Source organism: Homo sapiens, chromosome 3 (genome assembly GCF_000001405.40).
Source record: "Homo sapiens chromosome 3, GRCh38.p14 Primary Assembly".
Lineage (NCBI taxonomy): Eukaryota > Metazoa > Chordata > Mammalia > Primates > Hominidae > Homo > Homo sapiens.
In genome coordinates, this window is record NC_000003.12 from 151,859,651 (window position 1) to 151,885,186 (window position 25,536).

General features: G+C 35.2%; 1 protein-coding gene and 1 long non-coding RNA gene across 3 annotated transcripts in view; one reads left to right on the plus strand and one right to left on the minus strand.

Annotated features, from left to right (window-relative positions):
• Positions 1-25,536, minus strand: part of AADACL2-AS1 (AADACL2 antisense RNA 1) — a 176,997-nt gene that overhangs the window by 108,472 nt on the left and 42,989 nt on the right. The window lies entirely within an intron of this gene.
• On the plus strand, positions 13,993-24,969 carry SUCNR1 (succinate receptor 1). Its single transcript, NM_033050.6, has 3 exons — positions 13,993-14,056; positions 20,202-20,257; positions 20,909-24,969. Exons 2-3 carry the CDS (start codon positions 20,243-20,245, stop codon positions 21,896-21,898), a joined length of 1,005 nt encoding a protein of 334 aa, NP_149039.2. The 5' UTR covers positions 13,993-14,056; positions 20,202-20,242; the 3' UTR covers positions 21,899-24,969.

Below are 25,536 nucleotides of genomic sequence, written 5' to 3' on the forward strand. Positions count from 1 at the left end.
TGCATGAAGACTTGGGCCACACAATTATCATGAACAAATATTTATAGAGAAAAAAAGACTTTTCTTCTCTTGATATGGAGAAAGAGACTGCAATGATTAATCCAATTTGAAATAAGACCCAAGAGGGATAGGAAAAAATTGAGTTAACAGTATAAAACTAAAATTGTAAAAGAAAAACAATACAATGACCTGCCCCTACCTATAAAATATTTTTAAATACGGGAAAGATTAATCAGTTGTGCCTCTTTCTCTAGGTTTTATTTCTAGGTAGCAGTACTCATAAGTTTACTTTTTAAAAAGGTTAGATGTATTTGAATTCTCCTTTCAACAGCCCTTAAAGTATAGAGACCAAACAATGAAGAGAGCCAGACATTCTGGGTGTCAGGGATGGTAAGAAATCCTGTCTGGAAAAAGGAATGGAGGCAGGAAATAACACAGACATAGAATGGAGTAGGTGTTCATTTATCATTGTCCAGCTGGCTCCCTTGAAGTTAAGTAAGGTAAAATTAATCAGTAACTTGCCCATTAAAGAGTTAGCATTAGGATTAAAACAACTACAGCAAGTCCAGATGTCCTGAATCTCCTGGTTACAAATACTCCAATTTCCTGTTAGGCTAGGCAGAAACTATGGTAGTGATATTTCTGGAAGCAGAGTGCCTAGAACAAAAACCCAGTTCTATCTTTTACTGTCTCGGTCACTTTGAGTAAGTTACTTAAGCATGCTAAGTCTCTGTTTCCCTATCTATAAAACATGGATACTCTATTAAATTTGAACTTATTTTCAGAAATTAAAATATTGTAAATAAAGTGAACGGCACTTAAGTCATAAAATGAAGGAATCATAACAATTTCAGAACTGATTGAATGTGCAGGGGAGATAGGGAAGAGAAATCAATGATGTCTGCTATCCTCTTAGATTAGATAACCAGATAAATGATGATGCCATTCATCAATATAAGGGAAACAAAGAGTACAAGTATGGTGTGCACGTGAGCTGAGGAACGGTGTGGAGAAGAGAAAGATGATTCTAGCTTTAGGCATATTGTGATTAAGGTGCCTGTTTATAAGGTATACTTTTAACTACCTACTTCATCCATATCCCTTTCTAAGGAAAACTACATTCATATACCATACTACTCTATGCCCTGCCTACAACTTAGTCAGAGCCACAGAACTAGCTGGGAAATGTAAGCTTGAACAATTAGACCACTCATTCAAAAACTGGGAGTTAAGTCATTTAAGCTAAGAAGTGCTGAAGGAACATGCAATCCTATTGGCTAAGAGAACCATTTGAAGCCCTGCAGAAATGGGTAAGCTAAGAAAGCCACTAGAGAAAGAATAATGAAGTAAATATTGTGATGATAGACGAATGATAGATAGATGGGGCGAGGGAATATACAGACAGGTAGACTAGATAGATAGACACTAGTTTCCATTCATTAATTGCCAGCTTTTAAAATTCTAGCTTTTCAATGAAGTCTAAATGTACTTACATTTATGTTTTCATTCATACGATAAGCCTCTTTTGTGAATAGATATGTCCTGACTATAATACTGTGGGTGTATCTACCTATTTAGTTGGTATTTCTTATTTTCTATAATCCCAACACACTCTAATACAGTTATTACTACATATGGTCAACAAAAATCACAGATGATCAATTTTAGCAAGCTTGGGATGATGATATTGCAGAGAAGTTCACATCACAATTATGAACTTTGGGATGATGATATTGCAGAGAAGTTCATATCGCAATTATGAACTTTATACTTAGATATGTATGTTCCTCATATCAGCGTAGGCCTGACATGAAGGGCCATGTTTATTTCACAGATTAGAATTTTTTTTTTTTTTTAGACAGGGTCTCATTCTGTCACCCAGGCTGGAGTGCAGTGGTGCAATCTTGGCTCACTGCCACCTCTGACTCCCAGGCTCAAGAGATCCTCCCACCTCAGTGTCCTGAGTAACTGGGACTACAGGCATACACCACCTGACTAATTTTTGTATTTTTAGTAAGGACAGGCTTTGATCATGTTGACCAGGCTGGTTTCAAACTCCTGACTTCAAGTGATCCACCTGCCTCGGCCTCCCAAAGTGCTGGGATTATAGGTGTGAGCCACCGTGACCAGCCAACAGATTAGAAAATTATATGTCACTGAGTCTAATCCCCCTACCAGAAACCCAAGAAACTGCATCACTAAACAGACACTTTGCTTCTGAAAACACTTACAATATAATGCTATACAAAGTTTAATTAAAAAAACACATCAAAGATATAAACTATAATGTTCTTGGAAACCAAGAGTCACAGAATGATTTTACATTATTCTAAGTCCCATATTTAGTATTACCATGTCAATTAGTCTTTGAGAAAAGGTGAGAGTCTTCTATTAAAAGTCTAACTACATTTACACCCTCAGTTCAATTCCTCTGAGGGTGGAAACTGAGAGTTTCAGGTACACTATTAAGGAAATTTTTAAGGCAGAGACTTGTTTCACTCATCTATCTTTCCCTCACGACAACTGGCATAGTACTTAGCCATAACAAGGATAATTCAATGTATCATTAATTTTTTCATTAGTTATCAAATGCACACAAAAGGCAGTATCTTCCTATTTCCCAATTTACTGGAGGTGGTATGTAGTATGCTATAATTTACTAGAGAAATGTTAGTGTGTTTTGTAAATAACACTCACTTTTAAGAACTTTGCTGGGCCCAGCACGGTGGCTCACACCTGTAATCCCAGCACTTTGGGAGGCTGAGGCAGGTGGATCACAAGGTCAGGAGATCGAGACCATCCTGGCCAACATGGTTAAACCCCATCTCTACTAATAATACTATATATATTAGTCTGGCATGGTGGCACATGCCTGTAATCCCACCTACTAGCAAAGCTGAGGCAGTAGAATGGCTTGAACCCGGGAGGGGGAGGTTGCAGTGAGCCAAGATTGCGCCATTGCACTCCAGTCTGGGTGACAGAGCGAGACTCCATCTCAACAACGACAACAACAACAACAACAAGAACTTTACCAATCAAATACACATAGTCTACAATATACATCTTTGGTTCGCGTACTTAGGCAAGCCATTCCATCACTTGCCTTACTTGGAACTCAGATTTGTGAGAGTAACAGGAGTCCCAGCCTTCAAGGCCTTGAAAGGAGAATATCACAGGGTGTGAGCTTGGGAATTTAAAGATATAAGAAGTTAGAGAACAGCCTCTCACAGGACATGAAGACATAGCAACTGTGAAGTACAGGAAGATAAACTTTGTTAAAGGAAAAAGAAAGAACATGAAAATGCAAGTGAATAAAAGATCTTTGAAACTTTTATGCAAAATTTCAATTATTGATTGATAATATTACTATGTGAATGCTATTATTAAGAAAAACTCAAAAGGCTATTCTACCAGTAACGATGGATCTTTATCTTGGTCATTAACAAGAGTTGCAATTTTTAGCCTGTAATATTATATCTCAGAGATTTTTAAATCTCAGAGGAAGTCTGCAGGTCCAAAAAGAAACATCATATTAATAATTAAGTTCATTCTATTTAGTATAATTAACTCTAATCCAGACTTGAAAAACATTATGCCCATGGGACTCCACCACATAAGGCCTGACCTCTGGTACATGAGAACTGTGTAATGGCCTCTGTGCACAGACATGTAGATATTGTTTTAGATAAAGGTTAATTAGCTATTTTGAAATATATTGCTGATTTATTGTAGGTCTGATAACATCCTGTTTTATAACTAAATATGGCCGAATACAATTTTTGTAAGGAAAGGGCATTGAGAGGTTAGCTGGGTATGTGACCCATGTTCTTACCATTGGTCATTACATTACTGGCCTGAGCCACCCTGGTGACAGGGCAGAAAAAATCAAAGCATTTATCCCCTTTATGAATGAAAGAATGCCTGCAATATGACATAGAATAGTGGAATTTCTCTAGTTCAGGAAACACTTGGAATTAAACATGGGCTTAATTTAGTGCTTCAAGATAAAGACTACCAATTTTTCAAAATGAAACACCGGATAAGGCCACCATCATTTACTCCCTAAGATTTTGCCTGGACATACAGGGACAAAGAAGGATTTTTCTTTCTTACATGGGTACAACTGTAAGCACAACAATGCAACATCCCTTTTCTAGTTTGAGTCAGCCCTGTATAGCACTTATAACGCATTTGTGGCCAGAGTTATCAGGCCAGCTCATTTTACATTTCATTTCTTTTTCCTCACAATACTTTCACAGTTTGAAATGAAACACATTAAACTGGCAGACATTTAAGAACACAGCCATATAAATGATATTCAGTACATTAAACACTATTAAGATAATATTGTATTTGATATTATGATTACATCTAACAGCAATATGTAACTTTAAACTAAACTAAGGCAGGTGCGAATCTGAATGTACATAATTTTCCTTCCAAGGATGGTGCAGCAGTCATTTATGTCATGACATAAACAATACTCTTAAATTTCATGATTCAAATAGGCAACACAATTTCAAGTCATTTATCACTTAGTTCCTAAAAGGCAACAATAAGGCACTGAAACAGAATGATCACTTTAAACTTAGTGATCCCAATCATGAATCATGTTTTCTTACTTGACAGATATTTTATTAATCTATATTTAGCTTATAAATGTGCGAAGGAAACAAGGAATAAAATAAATCAATACTCAACACTTAATTAATATAGCTTTTTCTCCCTTTAGGCCTAGATAGGCAGTTTAAGTCTGTCTGCATTAAGAAATTTAAAAATTCATTGCAGCCTGGGATGAGGGAAAGGGTTGTCTTTGAATTTAATGAGCTGAAGGATTAAATAATATGATTTCCTTTGGCTTAAAAGGAAAGCCATTAAGAAGATTGAGGAGTGTGCTACGTTGAGATACTATAGAGAAGAGGAGGCAGGGTTCTCTTTAAAGATTCCCAAACCTTTAACATGACTCCTTCTAATGTCCACAGCCATAATTGCACAGATCCACCTGAATCGTCTATCCAAATAGGAGACATTACTTATTCCTTGCTCATGAGTGCATACCTGTGAGAAAAAGAGGACTTCTAGATACTTTTAGAACATATGCTATAGGGCTTAATATCACTATTATTGTTTCTAATTTACTGCAGGGAGAGAACTTGAGTGAACTCACCAAAGGAAATAAAGAATTTTTCAGCAATCATTTCTGCAAATACTTGTTTAATTACCAGTCGTTCTCAAGAAATATTTGTTTCATGACTCACAGGAAAAAATGAGGCAAAGATGAGGGGAAAATTTCACAATATTGTTTTTTTTTTTTTTCAACTAGATACTCCCTTGCAGATAAGGCAGGGTACCTCCTTAAGTCATGTTCGTGTCCTCTAATACTAGTACAGTTTCTGCCAAAGAGTAGTTTTAAAATGTGCACTTGTTGGAAAAGTAGTCTTTGAGTATGTGTGTGTGTGTGTGTGTGTGCACGCGCATTGGATGTGTTTGTCTTATATATATATTTCCCATAGGCAATAATAATGACAAATGCAAGGATTTATGGAGTGGTGTACTGATAAATGTTTAACAACCAAGTCTTTGTAAAAAGTAGGGTCTGAGGAGAGAATGTTGCTGTTTTATAGGGTTTTAAAACAAATTTGCTTCATATATGAGAAAATCAAGGCTTAGATAATGACATGAATTTTCAAGATGTCATATTACATTTTATTTGATTTAGCAAATCAATAAAAAGGGGAGACTGTCAGCCAGGAATTATGGAAAGAAAAAGGAGATGTTTCATGTGGTATGAGACCTTGTTGAGAATTGTTAAAAGTTTTGAGTATAAAAAGGTTGTAAGTTTTTTGAGGTCAGGTTTTAGCCTGCCTATTTATCCTTTTATTTCACATGTTGCCTTGAACATAGCAGGTGATCAATATGTGTTTTTTTTAATTGATTATTGAAAAGAAGGTAGGATGTGAGACAGATAATGAAATATTAATGTCTGAGTTAAAACTATGGAAGAGAAATTAGAAGAGAAATATCAGATATTGCTTTCTGAAGGGCTTTTTTAAAATTATACTTTAAGTTCTGGGGTACATGTGCAGAACATGCAGGTTTGTTACATAGGTATACATGTTCCATGGCGGTCTGCTGCACACATCAACCTGTCATCTACATTAGGTATTAACCTAATGCTATCCCTCCCCTTGCCCCCCACCCCACAACAGGCCCCAGTGTGTGATGTTCCCCTCCCTGTGTCCATGTGTTCTCATTGTTCAACTCCCACTTATGAGAACATGTGGTGTTTGGTTTTCTGTTCCTGTGTTAGTTTGCTGAGAATGATGGTTTCCAGCTTCATCCATGTCCCTGCAAAGGACATGAACTCATCCTTTTTTATGGCTGTGTAGTATTCCATGGTATATATGTGCCACATTTTCTTTATTCAGTCTAAAATTGATGCACATTTGGGCTGGTTCCAAGTCTTTGCTATTTTGAGTAGTGCCATAATAAACATACGTGTGCATGTGTCTTTATAGCAGCATGATTTATATTCCTTTGGGTATATACCCAATAATGGCATTGCTGGATCAAATGGTATTTCTGGTTCTAGATCCTTAAGGAATCACCACACTGTCTCCCACAATGGTTGAACTAATTTACACTCCCACCAACAGTGTAAAAGCGTTCCTATTTCTCCACATCCTCTCCAGCATCTGTTGTTTTCTGACTTTTAATGATTGCCATTCTAACTGGCATGAGATGGTATCTCATTGTGGTTTTGATTTGCATTTCTCTAATGATCAGTGACGATGAGATTTTTTTTCATATTTGTTGGCTGCATAAATGTCTTCTTTTGAGAAGTCCCTGTTCATATCCTTCACCCACTTTTTGAGGGGTTGTTTATTTCTTGTAAATTTGTTTAAGTTCCTTGTAGATTCTGGATATTAGTCTGTGAAGTGCTTTTCTAATCACTGCTTCTCTTCCTCCTCTCATAATGCTTGGTATTTTACATTCCAGAATCTAGTGCTATTGGAAACAGTTTTGTTTTATTTTCCCTGTATTCTAATCTCTGCTATAAATTAGTATTTCACCAGTTCCTGATAGATAAACGTACACGTCTTCAAAAAATGTTGAGTGAAAAGGGGGGAAATAGTAGAATAAAGGGAAGGGCCATTTTCACTCAAAAAGTATGCTTCAAGTTTGAGGATGACAGGCTTTTTCAGTGGCAAAACAAATTGATGCAGCTGTTGCATTTTACTGCCGTCACAGTGAACAAACACAGACTTTTGTTTAAAGTAAATGGTCTTTGGGTAGAAGTTTCTGTGTTTGGAGGTCCTTTGGCAGGGACAAGGCTTGTTATATCCCTTTCCCCAAGAAGGGTGCATGGTGGAAGGTCAAACTGCTGTATTCTCTCTCTCAAGCTTGCTATTGTTTTTCTTTCCTTCTTTTTTTTTTTTTTTTTTTCATGTTTTTTAGAATAGACATTGTTAGGTCCTAGCCTGGGGATGGGTAAGAGTGATTTTCTCCTTTAACATCAGGAAACAGTGTATACACACAGCTGTCAGGGAGGGTTCTCTGCCACTCTCTCTTCCCCTAGGGTGAGTCCTCCCATTTCCATTGTGCACAAGATATTCTTCATTTTTCCCAGAGTCAGCCTTCCCAGCCGTATCCCCTCTAACCACTCTGAGGCTGATGTCCTTGTTGTGATGATGAGGGATCTAGAGTGAATGACTTAGAAGCATTTTTCTAGATCTGACAGTCCACACATGGCATTTTGACTGGCAATAATTCTTTCAAGTAGTACAAATTATGTTAGGATTTAAAGTTAGATGAAAGTGAAAAAATACAACATATGGACACATAAATAATAAATATAGGATGGGGAGATATTTTTTAAAGCAGAGAATGAGGTATTTCCTTAACGCTTTACATTGCTTATAATTGTCAGACTGCTACATTCTGAAAATTCTTTATTTGCTTTATTACAATACTGACCTAATGGTAAAGCCAAATTTTATCAGCTTTACAGTTAACAAATCAGCATAAAATATAAGTTTAAATGTAGTCAGTACATTAATGATTATATTATAGCGATAAAGATACTAATACAAAGGAATCATGCCACTGAGTGTGTTATTAACAGGGGCAGGTAATTTTCTTTAATTCATAACACAGTCACAAACCACTTAGCTCACTTAATGAACACATACTCTTGTACTCCAGGGAATTTTGAAAACCTCTCAATTCAATTACTAGGATGCTCAATGAGATTCAATCAGACTGACTTCTTGTTCTTATTTCAAGGGCAAATAATATATTCAAGCAAGTAAAATGAAGAGTGGTTAATTAGTAGCCAATTGAAAAAGTACATCAAGACAATAAACTAGCTGCTTTTTTGTTTCTATAAATAATGTAAAATATTCCAGGAATCAAGCAAATTTGTACAAAATACAGTAAATGTGACTGGAAGAGACTGAGTAGTCAAGTAATCAATTAGCAAATTAATAAATTACTTTAATATTTTAGGCAAACTCTTTTCTTTAAATAAAAAAGATGCCTTGATCAGCAACAGTTAAGAATGAAATCTGGCCTGGTGTGATGCCTCATACCTGGATAGCAAAGTGCTATCCAGTACTTTGGGAGGCTGAGGTGGAAGGATTGCCTGAGCTCAGGAGTTCGAGATGAGCCTCGCTAACCTTTTCTCTACAAAAAACCTAAAAAAATAAATTAACCAGGCGTGGTGGTGTGCACATGTAGTGCCAGTTACTCAGGAGGCTGAGGGCAGGAGGATCGCTTGAGCCCAGGAGATCAGGGCTGCAGTGAGTTATGGTCATGCTACTGCACTCCAGCCTGGGTGACAGAACAAGACCCTGTCTCAAAAATAAATAAATAAGTAAATAAAAATAAAAAGATAAAGAGAGAGAAAGAGGAAATGAAATCTGTCTCTAATTGTACACAAATGCCTGAATTTCATATACCGCTATTTCTATTCAAGGAAACAAAACAACATTATTTGTATAGAGAAACACCTGTGATTAAGGTTCAGCACATATTATCAAAAATGAATTAGCTGTGGAATTTGCATATAAACTGAAAGATAAAAGGTGAATTTGCTGTGTTTCTAGGTTAATTGTTAGTACTTCAAGGAACTTAGAATATTTTAGCTGTAGTCAGATGCTTTTAACAAATAATGTGTTTTAATTTAGCAGAACAATTCCTTTGAGTTATGCCCAGTACCAATAGATATGACACATATTTTTCTTAACTGTATAATCAGAAAAAAGTCAGTAATGCAAAAATTTCCATTAATAATGTAGCTCTTAAATGACAAGGATTTTCATAGGAAAAGGAAGTAGATTGCTTGAGTGCCTATTTTGAATAGACCATTTTCCGTGGTAAAGTAAATTTGGTTAATATAATTTATTGATTTCTAGAAGCCGGAAGAATTTTGAGACATGCACAAATACCTTCTGCTGTGTTTTTCCTTTTGCTGTTTGTCCTTTATTATTTTGCTACATGAAACCATTCATTGAAAAAGGAAGTAACCATGTAATCTTGCTTATATCTATCCAGAAACACCAAAATATCCTCCCCAATAATCTTGATTTGTTTCAACTTCTGGGGGTTGTTATTATTATTATTGTTTCTCCTTACGGGTTTAGAAGAAAGTCCTCGAATTAGATTAATTGCCCTCTTCTTTCTCTGCTTGTGACCCTTGAAGATTAGCATGACCCTTAAACCAGTTTTGTTTTCCACACAGACTTTTTGGGCTGTTAAATGTGGCTTGTAAACATTCCCAGAGACGTTGCTAGGAGAATCTTTCTATAAATACTTTAACTATTTATTTTTAACATGTTTGATTTTTATCTAAAATGTTCTATTCTTTTTGGAAGTTGGAAGATTTAAATTATTAAATTTGATAATCAATAAGTTTTATAACTAATAATTAAATTTAGTGTTAGTTTTAAATTTATTTTACTAAACTATATAAAATTGCCATATATAAGGTAAAAATGTTCCAATATCAATAATTTTATGTTTCAATCTAATATTTTCATCTTTACCATGAGTGACTCAGGAGAATAATGGAGAAGAGTTTGGATTCAGGAGTCAAACAGATAAGGCTTCAAATTATACAGCCAAATCATGTATTAGCTGTGTATTTGTGGATCATTTATTTAATCTTTATTAGGCCTTGATTTCTTCAACTGAAAATGAGTGATATTAATAATATCCACTGCATTAAATTATTGTGAATATTAAAAGAATCACTGCATACACTGTGTTATTATAGAGTGAATGCTGAAAAAATGTTAGTAGAAGTTATTATTAATTTTTTTTAGACAGGATCCCACTCTGCCACCCAGGCTGGAGTAAAGTGATGCCATCATAATTCATTACAGTCTTGACATCCTGGGCTCAAGTGATCCTCCCACCTCAGCCACCTGAGTAGCTGGGACTACAGGTGTGTTCCACCACTCCCAGCCAATTTTTTCGATTTTTAGTAGAGGAGGTCTTGCTATGTTGCCCAGGTTGGTTTTGAATTCCTGAGCTCAAGTGACCCTCCTGCTTTGGCCTCCCAAAGTGCTGGGATTATAGGTGTGAGCCACCGGACCCAGCAGAAGTTATTACTAGCATTGGATTTAATTAATATTTATATTATATTTCCCACCATTTTCTTTTTCCTCTTGAATTTCCTGATTAGTTTGCCTGGTTTACATGAACTGCTCTTCAATTTCAAGCCCATTGCATTTTCAAACATTATATAATTTGATACTATGAACATTATGAGTTTGATGGGTAGGAATTATTATTCCCCTTTTCCAAACAAGGAAATCAGGTTATGTGATTTTTTTTCAAAGATCACACAAACTAGTAAAAGGCAAAGCCAGGATTAGAACTCACTAATCTTTTTATCATGTTGGCTTTTATAAGGACCTTTTAAATGGATATTTCTGGGCAGCAAGTATTCTAACATCAATGGCACTGAATTACCATTATTATTTTAGAGAAAGTCTTCTCTCATTCATTATAAATTTCTGTAATAGCCAACAATTATTTAGCAACTAATATGTACCTCATATTATACAGTGTACGTATATACTAGTACCTCATACTATGTAGCATATGTACTTCTGCTATATACATAACAATTCATAAGATTGGTAACTCTCATTATCCCTGTTTTACAAATACAAAAACTGAAAGCTAGTGAGTAGTGAAGCCAATATTTGAAACAAAGCAGTTTGCCTCCAGGACCTATGCTCTTAAACACTGTGTTATACTACCTCTTAGCAAACAGTACTACAAGCTTTTAAAAAATATATATTTTAAAAAGTGTTCATTGTTGTACTTAACTTTTTTTTTTTTTGAGACAGGGTCTCACTCTGTCTCCCAGGTTGGAGGGCAGTGGCACAATCATGGCTCACTGCAGCCTCGGCCTCCCCAGGTTCAGGCCATCCTCAAGCCTCCCGAGTAGCTGAAACTAAAGGCACGCACCACCATGCCCCAGCTAATTTTTGCATTTTTTGTAGAGACAGAGTTTTGCCACTTTGCCCAGGCTGGTCTCCAATTCTTGGACTCAAGTGATCCGCCTGCCTTGGTCTCCCAAAGTACTGAAATTACAGGTGTGAGTCACCATGCCCGGCCAGTACTGCAAACTTTCACTGCCTTTCAAACTTCCATTGATTCTCAAGCAGTGCATCTCAACATGTTATATGTAAAAAAAAAAAAAAGACAAAACAAAAAAACTTTGCCCCCTCAAAATTTGATGTGCTATACTGAATAGAAATAGTTTCTGAGGAGGTTTCTACTCTCACAGGCAGAACTGGCTACATATTTAGTAGAGCCCAGTGCAAAAGAAATATATGGGGTCCCTTGTTAAGAAGTTATGAAACATTTTAATTAAGAATGTGACAGTAGAGCATTAACTCAACTGTGTGATCTTTTTTGAGTGTGAAGCACTGTGAGACTACACAGTAGCATACCATGAAACCCACCCTGCTCACAGGGTCATAATTCTGAATCCAGCCTTGTTCCCGTGCAGCTATCATTTTGCAGACCTGCATAAAGCTTTGTAGCAGAAATACTCGTGACCTTTTAGTAAGTCTTTCCCAGTAACACTCTAGTATCTCAACTGAGAGCATTCGGAGGAAACAGGAAGTAGGACTTGGGAGGGAAACAAGGCTACCAGGCTACAGTCTAGATGACGTGTTCTATGAAAAAGGAGAAGCATAGACCAATTTTTGTCTTAGCAGCCAGAGTGAGATGGTAGTCAGGAAGTGGGACGAAGAAAGAGGAAGCTCTCGGGAACTCCCACCACCCCACAAAGGGGGAATTACTCTTTTCTTCCATCAGAATGGTGGCAGAAACCTGTGAAATACATCCATTTGTCTTTGTTTCTTGGAAGGGGTTCATGTTAATTTATGTCTAAAATTAACAAGCCTGGCATTGGTTATTCAAATGCTTTTTGCCCTTTTAAAAATATAGACAAAAATAATGTTTTAACCTTTCTTCCTTCTAAAAGTAGAAAAGAATTGCATTACTGAAAAATACCTGTTATTAATTCTTAGACTTTGTTGTGCACAAGGGTATTGTCATTCAATTCTGTAGGCAGTCAAGAATCAGAGTCGGTGCTTTTAGAATCCAAGTACATAGGCTTAAGCTCTGGTCCCTCCCGTTATTGATTCTGCAATCTTGAGAAAGTTAATTGACCTCTCTGAACCTTAGCTTTTTAATCTGCAAAATGAGAAAAATCTTAAATAATAACAACCTCAGAGGATTACTATATGCATTTGATGCATAAAGGTACTTAGTGTAATACCTGCCTGCCACATCACAAGAACTCAACAAATTATAGATATTTTTATTTCATGTAAATGCACATGTTTGTATACATAAATATTCATACATGTATAAATATATTTTACACATGTATATAAAGTGTGTAATATAGACACATATGTATGTATATATGTATGTGTATATATACATACATATATTTTGAGTTCCTGAGTTTTTAAGCTGTCAGATATTGGTGAGGAGAAATGCTTAGTTAGGAGGATGCCTGTAACAGAGCTTCTTTTTGGGCTTCTGCCTGTCATTGCTAACTCAATATTCAACTTACATAGCATTTAAATTGAATTACTGCTGCCTGCACAATTATGGGCTTTCTTAGTATAATCCCTATGCTTCACATCAAGAAGACTGAGTGTTTACTTGAATCTAAACCTAATATAATGCTTGGAAAAAGCCAGGTGTGCTTCCTGTCTGAAATGGTGGTAATGTACTTCCAGATGTTTTTCAGAGCATTGATTGGGATATATAAATTGCCATCTATTAAGGTTATTTTACTTAGCATCTCTCTCCCTAATCCCTAGCTATCTGATGTATCTTTTATGTGTTTCTTGATTTTAAGCACAGAAAATAAAATGGAAAATAACTTGAAGCTCTAGTATCTTTTTGCTAGTACACCAACATAGCATATATCCAGGTTTCCCTTTAAAATTTCAGTTTTATAGTTCCCTCAAAGTTATTGAAAACAGAGGTTTCGTTATTATATTCTCAATACAGAATTCACTAAGAAAATTAATTTTAAAAAAGAAGAAAAGCAGAGGCAACTGTATTCCCAATATAAGCAGTATTTACCACTTCTTATTGTGTAAATATGCAAATAAAATGAAAATAAGGAATGCTTCTCTGTTGCTTTGGTAGTGGATAAAATAAGTTCAACAGTGTTTTTCTAAAAATCTATTTGGTAAATGTGTTTCCTGTGAAATGAGTTACTTGTTTTTTGTCATTCAATTGCAAAACTGCATGTGAAAATAAAATAAATGTGAATGTGAAAATAAAAGCCTCACAAAAATTCCTCTGCATGAACATCTCTGACTGGGAGGTTTGACTGAATAAATTATTCCTGGGCTTTTGAATTATTAATCTTGGCTGCAGGATATGCAAATAGGATATGCAAATAGGACACTGTAATAACCATGTCCAGTGGCACAACACTGGGTCAGAAGCTATATCCAGCTGCTGGCAGAGTTCCTGTCAAGGGATCAAGTCTTCCAACAGAATGGTAAGCTACATGGCAAATTGTGCCTCTCAGTGTATAAAGTAAGGCCAGATTTCCTTCTAAAGGTGACCTGTGAGCAATTAAGGTTTTCAGTATTAAGTGTTTAAATTAATTCTTTATAAATAGATGTAAAACAGCAAAATAATTGAAAAAAAAAAGTCATTTTTATCTCTACGTTTATTTTTCAACAAATTAACTGTCTTCTTTTAGTTGTCAAATACTAATTTTATTTTATGTAAAAGGATTTATTATATTTGCTAACATCTCAACAACTTATATTTCAACAAAATAGTAATTGGATTTACCTAAATAAATATAACTACTTATGGGGAAAAATTAAAGTTCCTAAATGATTTGAAACAATCATGTATTTGATACATACACACACACACACACACACACACACACACACATATACATACATATATATATATATATATATATTTTTTTTTTTTTTTTTTTTTTTTAAGACAGAGTTTCACTCTTGTCACCCAGGCTAGAGTGTCTGAGTGCCAGAGTGACACATTTACAGCATGTGTTGGCTCACTGCAACCTCCGCCTCTGGGGTTCAAGCAATTCTCCTGCCTCAGCCTGCAGAGTAGCTAGGATTACAAGCGCCCACCACCACGCCCGGCTATTTTTTTTGGATTTTTTAGTAGAGATGGAGTTTCACCATGTTGGTCAGGTTGGTCTCAAACTCCTGACCTCAGGTGATCCACTCATCTCGGCCTCTCCAAGTGTTGGGATTCCAGGCATGAGCCACTGTGCTGGGGCATAATATTTTTATGTTTAGAAAATAATGTATTTGGGGGAATTTTCAGGCATCCTAAAAATTAAATTTAACATTTATGTGTGTAAAAATGATATTACCCAATAATTAATTTACTTAGGAAAAATGAAAAATTGCAGAAACCATTTCTATTCTACCTTCCATAACTTTTCAAAATGTGTGTGGTATTCTTAAAGAAGTTAATACACAATTTGTGCCATACTATTACTTTTTAATACCTTAATTTCTGGTGTAATGTATGGAATACATAAAAATAAAGTTACAAATGTTAAATTATTATATCTTTTCAGTGTGAATATATATTTTTGCTCAAATTATTTAGTAATCAAAAAAGTAATTTGTTAAAAAAAATTCTCATGTTACCATGTAAATTTGCCTTAAGGTAGCACTTAAAAGTAAACATTTTACAAATGTTATTTGTTTAATTGTGATGACTATAAAAACAAACAATTAAAAAGCTAAGAAACTATCACATATATATTTTAAAGTAAATTTCAAAAATGCAGATTTTCAAAAGGCTGAATATATTTAAAGTAAAAAACATTTTCAAGTTAAGTATTATTGGTCTGCTTATGTGAGTAAATTAGATATTGCTTCTAGTTCAATAATTCTAACAGTTTTAGATATATTTTTGGACTGGAAACTAAAGATTTCACTTTAATTTCTGCTCTTAAAAAATACCTATTCAAAATAATTCATCCAAATCAGTTACAATTTATTTATCACTATTTCCATTTCCTAAAAATTAAGAATATAGCCACTAGATAGCAGAAGAGAGAATATGAATTTTTCATGAGGGAATTTTCTCTTTAATTGGGAGTTTTGCTTAAAGGAGCAACTTACTTCATATGTTTATAGAATTGCGATGCCACACTAAAAACATACCCAACTATAAACATATCCAATTTGAAATATAGTATCTTCAAAATTTTGTATCCTAGTGAAGTTAAATTGGTCTGCAAATATTGCACAGCTCATATTTATAAAATCATAATCTATTAGAATTATGAACTTAGAAAAAATGAAACAAATGTATCAAAAAATTATAAAACATCATAAAAAAATCTCATTTTTATGAATAAAAATTCAGGTAAATATTAAAATGTAAAAGGGTACCCAAATATTAGGAGTGGTCTGTTTACAGACCATTTTTATTTCTTATTTTTGCCTATTTGATTTTATGAGTGTTACACCTTAACAATAATTTTACACATACATTTTTAAAAAGTTGTTTCAAAAAAATGAAGAAACAACTGTATGAGAAGAAAGACAAATATGATAATTTAGTCATTCATTTCTCTTATTTCAGCTCTACTCCTTCCCTACTACTCCTTCAATCCCCGACCTTCTGGGCTACTATAAAGCAGAATGCTCCTTGACTTTCATGTGACCCGTCACCTGCCTGAGTGATAGTTGCAGGAAATCAGGCTCTAGTTGCACAAGTCTTTGTGGCTATATTTTCCTTCCATTGCAGTCAAATCTTTCTGCTGTGCACAATACATAAGCTATTAACATTACCAGTGGTGACTAGGCAGAAAGATAAACGTTATGACCAGAAAAAAAGGAAATGCAAAAGTGAAACAAATTTCTTGTGTCAAGGAAACTTTCTATACCTTAATTTTCATTTGAATTTGTGCACCAGCTTTTTGAGTACCCACAAAATAACAAGAGCTCAGAAATAAGGCCTGAGAAGGTCCAACATTTAAAACTTGGGCAAAGAAGGATTAAGCCACAAAAGAGCATGAAAATGGAGAAAGGAGGAAAACAAGGAGATTGTTGTGTCATAGAAGATAGGAAGAGAGTGCTTCCAGAAAGTGTGGACTTAAAAGCTACTGAGAATAAATAATAATAGTAAAAACTGACCATTGAGCTAAAAAAAATAAAGTTTGTTAATATGTTAAAGCCTATTGACATTTTTGCTATATTTCTAGAAATTTAAAGTTTTTAATATTATCAAATAGATGCCAATTTTGAGAGAAAAAATGATAGGAAATTTAGATAAAAGGAGAAAGGAAATAATAAAAACTACCTGAAATCTCATCATTAGAGATAAAGCTATTAACATTTTGATGCACGTCTTTCTAGACTTCTTATGCTTATTAATTTCAGGTGTCATTTCTTAATTAAATGCTTCAGTTTTAAAATTTATCCTGGTAGATATTTAATTTTGCCTTATACAAATGTGTTTCTAAACTACAGCTACTACTACTACAATTACTAATTTTTAATACTTATCATATTATATTATATATAGTGTTGACTTTCACAGTGAAATAAGCAATGAGCTTAATCTGATGGTCTTGCTGCTTATCTGGCCTTGGAGAAAATATTTATAAAAATGCTTTGTAAATAGTCAGGTGTTCATATTCATCTCTTCACTCAACAAAGATTTATAGATCACCTACTATCTGCTGGTCACTGTGCCAGATGTGGACAATAAAAAATGAGTAAGACAAAGTTATACAAAATTCTAAGAAGTTTAGTATACAATGAAAGCATAAATGGGAGGACCTACTTTAGACTGAGGGTCAGACAGCCTACCTTGGGAAACCTACACTTGAACAGAGGCCTGAGAGAAGTATAGATATATGACAAATATGTGATGGGCCAGGAATCACAGGACAAAAACAGCAGTGAAAAGAGATTCAGATAGAGGGACTGCATGTTAAGAAGGCTCTCTGTGCATTCAAAGAGCAGGAAGAAAGGAAGATGAATTAGGAGGAGAGTAATGCCAAGCAAAATTGAAGTGGGTGCAGGGGCCAGATCATGCAGACCTTGATGTCCCCATTAAGGATTTTAGACTATATTCCTTGGATAGTGGAAAGTTAATTAAGGGTTTTGATCAAGGAAAGCTATATGATCTGATTTTGAGTTGTAGTTTTTCAAGACTGTTTAGCTATAATGGTAAAGATGAACTGATGAGGGCCAGAGAGGATGTGAGGAGACAATAGCAGAATATGACATAGAGCAAAATAGAGATAAGAGTAGCCTGGACGAGAATGATAATGAAAGCTATAGAGCAGTAATGATAGATTTGAGAAATACCCAGACATTACAGTAAACAGACTTGGTAGTTTATTCATTACTGGTGTTGAGTTTTAGATGACTTTGAGGATATTGCTTAGATTTTCGTGGTGAGCACCTGGATACATGGCAGAACCATTTACTGAAATTGGTGGATATGCTGCAGGCTTGGTAAGGAATTTGGAGAATTTGGTGTAGGATTTCTAGAGGCAGAGACATCTGAGAGAAATCAATCAATGGCAATAAACAATTATAGTTTGTAAGGCAGATACAAGCTGGGCTGGAAATCTGGGAGTTGTTGATGTATAGTTGGTCATTAAACCTCAAAAGTGAATGAGATCATTTAGGAAGAATCTATGAAAAGAAGGAGCCCAGAAATTAGCCTTGAGGAACTCAACATTTATTGCTTGAGCCAAGAAGACTTGAGCCCCAAAAGTGCCTGCAAAGAACAACCAGGGAGAAAGAAGGGAAACTAGGATATTGTCATGTCTCAGAAGGCAAAAGAAGAGTGTTTCCAGAAGACAGAGTATGAAAAACAACTGATAAATAAAATAAGATTAGTGAAAAATGATTATTGGAATGAGCAATGTGGAGGCTACTTGGAGGACTGGTAGGTCCGAAGCCAAATTGGAGTAAGTTGAAAGGGAATGGGGTGTCGAGATGTCAAAACACTTAATGAGATGGCTCTTTCCAGAAATCAAACTATGAAGAGGAGAGGAACACGTGAAACTAGGGAGAGTTGTTTATGTTGCTCCTTATTGTAAGATTGAAATGATGAGAGTGTTTAAATTCTAATGGAAAAGAGGACATGAAGACTGACGATGAGGAGAAGAATGCTGAAGAGTCAGAAAAGAAGAAATAATGGTACCATGGGAATACTGAGAATTTGGGAATGAGTTGGATCTAGAGTAAGCTCAACAAATGCTCTCTATCTCAATGAACTAGGAGGTAAAACCATTTGCTAATAATGAGTAAGGTAGAGTAAATGAAAAAAGTTTTAAGAGATAAAAAAATATGAAATTGAGAAATATAGGAATATGCTGGCAATATGAGAGAGCGGTAGAATTAGGTGACCTCAAAGACAGAGTGAAACCCATCTGCTTTATTCTTCAGCAGCATTCATGTGTCTGCTGCTTGAGAAAGTTTCCACTCAGCTTTGTCTGGAATTGGACTTAGTGGCAGGTTGCCATAGAGAGATTCGAGAGACTCCGAAAAATGTATAATGTTTTAAAGTAAGTGATTAAAAATAACTTTTCAAAATATTAAACTTATATCTACAATTCTGTGACTTATTTTCATAAATAAAACACTCTCAAAATAACAATGATCTTTAACTAAAGTAAACCACTTGAATTTGACAAAAATACATGAGTTTTCCAGATGCCTTATCATAGCAAATTCTACTGAATTTTGCATGCTTCTCATAAAAAGCAGTTTAGGTGCATTTATTCTTATTTTGTTCTATTTACCAAAATTCTAAATTGAAAGAATTGTTTGTTTGCAACTAATACTCAGAAGCCTACTTGACAAAGAGGTTTTTAGAACATTTTGTTTTCAACCTTGGTTTTCCTCACTAGAAATAAGTAACACTTAATGTTTAACAATGGCAATCCAGTACTTTTTTCAGATAATTAAAGTTCTTGAAATACCCTATCCAATCACAATCTGGCCTCTTGACAAGAGTTAAAAACAGTAGGTTAGCAAGACTCTTGAGGTTTGAGTGAGTCAGGTTGCTTATTTCCATGGTACATATTCAGAAGGCATTACAATAAAGGTCTTTCACTAAGCATATGACCTAGGCAAATGCCATGGTCTTAATATTGGTGTCTCCTCAAAATGTATGTTGGAACCTAATAGTATTAAGAGGCGGGGCCTTTTGGAAAGTGATGAAGCCATGAAGACTCTACCTTCATGAATGGGATTGGTACTCTTGTGAAAGAAGATTAACGGAGCTGCCTTGCCCCTTCTGAAATTGTTGTGAGGACACAGCAGCCACCATCTTTGGAGCACAAGGTGACTTTTCATCAGACACCAAATCTGCTGATACCTTGATCTTGGACTTTTCAGTCTATAGAACTGTGAGAAATAAATTTCTTTTTTTTATAAATTACTGAGTCTGAGGCATGGCATCTTTCAATAAATCATGACCAATGTTAATATTACTAAGATTTTCAGTTTCATATTTTGAATTTTTAAAAATTAAGTTTTAAAACTGAAGTTGTATCATAGTTTATGAATTTAATACAATAAGCAGAATTCTTTGGCAATATGGAAACAAGTAAAAGCTTAAAATAGTGAGACTGAAGTTCTAAAAATTCTTATTTCCTCTTCTAGGTTATGGTTTAACTCAGCAGAATTTGTTGAACAACTACGACATGCTGGGGATCATGGTATGTTTAGAGACACAAAAGTGAATTCAAAATCTTCTCTTCAATTATTTTATCATACGTTCCCTTTGTTTCTTTGCTATTTGCCAAGCCCTCTATTTGTGTTTCCACCTTAATGCCTTCACATGTGCTCTTTCTTATGCCTGGAACACTTCCTGCAAATATAGATATGTCTCTTTCACTTTCTTCATTGAGGTTTTTGTTTAAATGTCATCTTGTATAAAAGCCTCTCCCTTATCACCACATATAAAAATGAGTCACTGCCACCCTCCATCCCAAAACTTTCTAATATTTTTACCTTCCCATATGTTTTTATTCATAGCACTTATCATTATTGGTATCATTCATTGTTTACTTCCTGATTATTCTTCCCAAGAGAGTATAAATTGTTAGAGATTAGGAACTTTGATTTATTCACTGCTGTTATCTCCCGTGCCTGAAATTATATTCAGCACATAGTTGAAAGGTATTCAAAAAATTTGTTAAAATAATACATTAATGACATATATATATGTGTGTATGCTTTCCTTACTGATGTAACCTACTTTCTATAGTTCACCATTCAAGTGTTTTTCATTATTATTATGTTCTGCACAGTTTTGTCATTAGTCACAGTCTAGTGTTTAATCCTTATATTTTCTCTCTCTTCTTTAGGCATGGAATGCAACTTGCAAAAACTGGCTGGCAGCAGAGGCTGCCCTGGAAAAGTACTACCTTTCCATTTTTTATGGGATTGAGTTCGTTGTGGGAGTCCTTGGAAATACCATTGTTGTTTACGGCTACATCTTCTCTCTGAAGAACTGGAACAGCAGTAATATTTATCTCTTTAACCTCTCTGTCTCTGACTTAGCTTTTCTGTGCACCCTCCCCATGCTGATAAGGAGTTATGCCAATGGAAACTGGATATATGGAGACGTGCTCTGCATAAGCAACCGATATGTGCTTCATGCCAACCTCTATACCAGCATTCTCTTTCTCACTTTTATCAGCATAGATCGATACTTGATAATTAAGTATCCTTTCCGAGAACACCTTCTGCAAAAGAAAGAGTTTGCTATTTTAATCTCCTTGGCCATTTGGGTTTTAGTAACCTTAGAGTTACTACCCATACTTCCCCTTATAAATCCTGTTATAACTGACAATGGCACCACCTGTAATGATTTTGCAAGTTCTGGAGACCCCAACTACAACCTCATTTACAGCATGTGTCTAACACTGTTGGGGTTCCTTATTCCTCTTTTTGTGATGTGTTTCTTTTATTACAAGATTGCTCTCTTCCTAAAGCAGAGGAATAGGCAGGTTGCTACTGCTCTGCCCCTTGAAAAGCCTCTCAACTTGGTCATCATGGCAGTGGTAATCTTCTCTGTGCTTTTTACACCCTATCACGTCATGCGGAATGTGAGGATCGCTTCACGCCTGGGGAGTTGGAAGCAGTATCAGTGCACTCAGGTCGTCATCAACTCCTTTTACATTGTGACACGGCCTTTGGCCTTTCTGAACAGTGTCATCAACCCTGTCTTCTATTTTCTTTTGGGAGATCACTTCAGGGACATGCTGATGAATCAACTGAGACACAACTTCAAATCCCTTACATCCTTTAGCAGATGGGCTCATGAACTCCTACTTTCATTCAGAGAAAAGTGAGGGGCTTGTGAAACAGATTGTTCTACAGATGAATCTGTAAGCCAGTTACAGTTTGCCTTAACTCATAGACATCAATCAGAGAGTGTCACAGATTTAACCTTGATCTAAAGACAAGTTGTACCCAGAGTATGTGAAAAGAATGGGACGACAAGAATGTACTGGTTTCTTCCTCTAAGAATTGAAAGGAGTTGAACTGCCTTATGTTTGGGCATGTAACTCCAAAATACTAGGTAGTATAAGGCTTTCTCAATCAGTGCAAAAATGGAAGATATATAAAGCAACAAGTTGTCTGCATTTGATCACTGGTCAGATTGTAAAAAAAAAAAAAATTGTTTTGGCAACATTCTCTATGTTATTCTTATTCACATGATCCTAGAACTTTATGTGAGAACTGAATAGCAGAAGATATATTATTAAATAGTTTTTGGAAGTTGTGCTGTTAAGCAAATGTAAAGTCAACAGTAACAATGATTAAGAAAGGAATATAATGAGTTCAAAGATATCTATCTGATATATTTTTTATATTCATCATGAATCGGGGTAGTCTTGTAATTTATCTAACCTTTTTGTTGTATGGGTTTATAGTGGAAAGAATCTTAATTTAAATAAAAAGAACCTGAAGAGATAATTCAACAAAAGTAGAGAATATGTTTGAGCTTGTCAGAGAATTTAAGTATCAAAATACTAGAGAGATACACCAAGGATATTTGAATAAAAAAAAAATTTGTAGAACACAAAATGCCTATCAGGAAACCCAAAGCAAAACAGAACAAAAAGTGAATACATCGTTTTAAATGATGATTTTGCCATCTGGTATTTTATTATCATAATTTGACCACCAGTGCATGAAAATATATTAAAGTTCATTAGCCTTCTGCTCTTGATTTAATAGTGAACTTTAAAATATATTAATATCATAAACCAGCAAATAAGGAGAAATAAACTGATAATACTAGATTCATTGGGATAGTTTTCCCTTTTGGAGGGAAAGTCACAATTTTTCTCCATGATCCCCCATTTTTTGTAAACACTGGAATAATTTACAAGGATAACTTTATTGTAGCGAGAGCAAATCACATCTGGAGTGAGCCTTGTTTTCATGCAACATTACCATAAGACCATTGGAGTAAATGTTTCAAACAAAATGTACTTCATGAAATTATAGAACATAAAAATATTTATGTGCATATTAACCTGTATTATCCCAGGAGGGTTAATGAGGCCCCATTTCCTGCACAAAACAAATGTAGGGGAAAAAATGGGTGCTGCATTAGCTTTTTAAAGTCAAACAACTATCACATAATAATTCCTTGATATGCAACATAAAGTACCTATGGCCACATATCTAAGTTCCTTTCCTTGATGTCATTAGCTATAAGGAGTGAGTAATGTGAAGGACAAAATAAGCATTATGAATACAGAGACATAAAATTCCACTGTCCCTTCCTTTTCTGAAATACTCTGGGAGGTATTCTGATATTTTTAAATCCCCCAATTTTCCCAGTTGATATCTCTAGACTTCAAGCAACTGAAATATTATAAAAATGCATTAGTCACAAAAGATTTATTTTCTTACATCACACCAGGCTTTAAGATATTTTCTGCCATGCCTTGCCTTTAGTATCAATATTTTAAAAATTTCACTGTAATTTTATAACTGCCTAATAACAAACTGAAAACAGAACTTCTGAGTTTCCTTATCAGAAAGGGCCACAGAAAAGGCCTTAAGAAAGAAAGATTCACTTACTTCTGCAAACTTGGCAATCCGTAATTTAACTTTAATTTGTATTTTATGCATGAATTTTACTTGTAAAGACAAAATTAAATTTGCTTCCCCTACATCCCAACTCCAAGAAGTCACAGGAATAGACTCTTTCTAATAGTGCAGTGAAATATTTTTTCAAACCATAAACTCACATATATATATATATATATATATATATATATATATATATATGTACCTTGTAAACAAGAGGTTAAGAAATTTTATAGCACATTTTAAAATTATTTTCTTCCTCAAATCTATCATGTGGTAACTTAATCTTTAACAGACTTTAGGGCCCTAAACTAAAATTATAAGAGCTATTTCATTTGCTTGTTGTACTGGGTAATTGTAAGAATCACAAACAATAAATCATGAAAATCCTTTCTGGGTTTGTGGTTTCTAAAGGAAATAATATTGAGCTTTTGTATTTTGTCTTTTAATTGGCTCCCTGGTATCTTCAGAATGATGTCTAGATTCTTCAGTCTGGACCCACCTACTCTTCTCACATTATCTCCCATCACTGTTGTCACAAACCATACCCTATAGCTAAAGATTGCTACTTTAGTTTATTACATTCAGAACTTTCTTCACTTTGTTCACCTGTTGCCCATCTTTGTTCTATCATACCTGAATGGTATAATAATTCTAAACAACTTTCAAGGTTCATCTCATCTGTCATTCTTTGTTGAAGCTTGCCCTTATATCCTCTCTTCCCCAAACCTAAAAGTAAAACTTTCTACCACTGGGGCTTCAGATACTTTTAATACTACTTATTTGAATTTCATTATTTTTATTATAGTTTATTATTGTCTTCATAGCTGAGTACTCTTAAAATTACTGTTTATTATAAGTGAATGTCTTACAGAACAAACTCAAAGTCAATGCTTCTTTTGCATGTGAATAATCAAGCTATTTTTTTGTCATCATTACTTTAGTAAGTAACATTATTTTATATGAAGAATAGAGTGTATATACATAAACCCATGTGCCAGCTGCCATTGCACTGCCTCACATTTTCCTTTAGATGTTTGAGCATAGTTTTAATGACTGTTTGAAATCTCTGTCTCCTAGTTCCAAATATGGGTCATCTTGGAGTTGGTCTTCATTGGTGCCTTTTCTCTTCAGTATGAGTCATAATTTTCCTGTTTCTCTATATGCCTAGTAAATTAGAATTTTATTCTAGATGATGAATAATGTGTGGCAGAGATTCTGGATTCTGTTACATTCCATCAAAGAGTATTGATATTTTGTATATACATTTACAAATGTACATGTACACAATAATAAAAATAATTTTTTTCTCAGACCTGCCTGCAATCATGAAGGGTTTCTTCTTTATGTGCTTATAACAGTGTAGACAAGGGGACTCCCAGGCAAGATGGCCAAGTAAGAACAGCTCTGGTCTGCAGCTCCTAGCGAGACCAATGCAGAAGGCCAGTGATTTCTGCATTTCCAACTGAGGTACCCGGTTCATATAACTGGGACTGGTTAGACAGTGGGTGCAGCCCACGGAGGGTGAGCCGAAGCAGGGTAGGGTGTCACCTCACCCTAGAAGTGCAAGGGGTCAGGAACTCCCTCCCTAGCGAGACCAATGCAGAAGGCCAGTGATTTCTGCATTTCCAACTGAGGTACCCGGTTCATATAACTGGGACTGGTTAGACAGTGGGTGCAGCCCACGGAGGGTGAGCAGAAGCAGGGTAGGGTGTCACCTCACCCTAGAAGTGCAAGGGGTCAGGAACTCCCTCCCCTAAGGAAAGCTGTGAGGGAACTTGCCATGAGGGACGGTGCTATCTGGCCCATATACTACGCTTTTCCCAAGGTCTTTGAAACCAACAGAACAGGAGATTCCCTCAGGTGCCTACACCACAAGGGC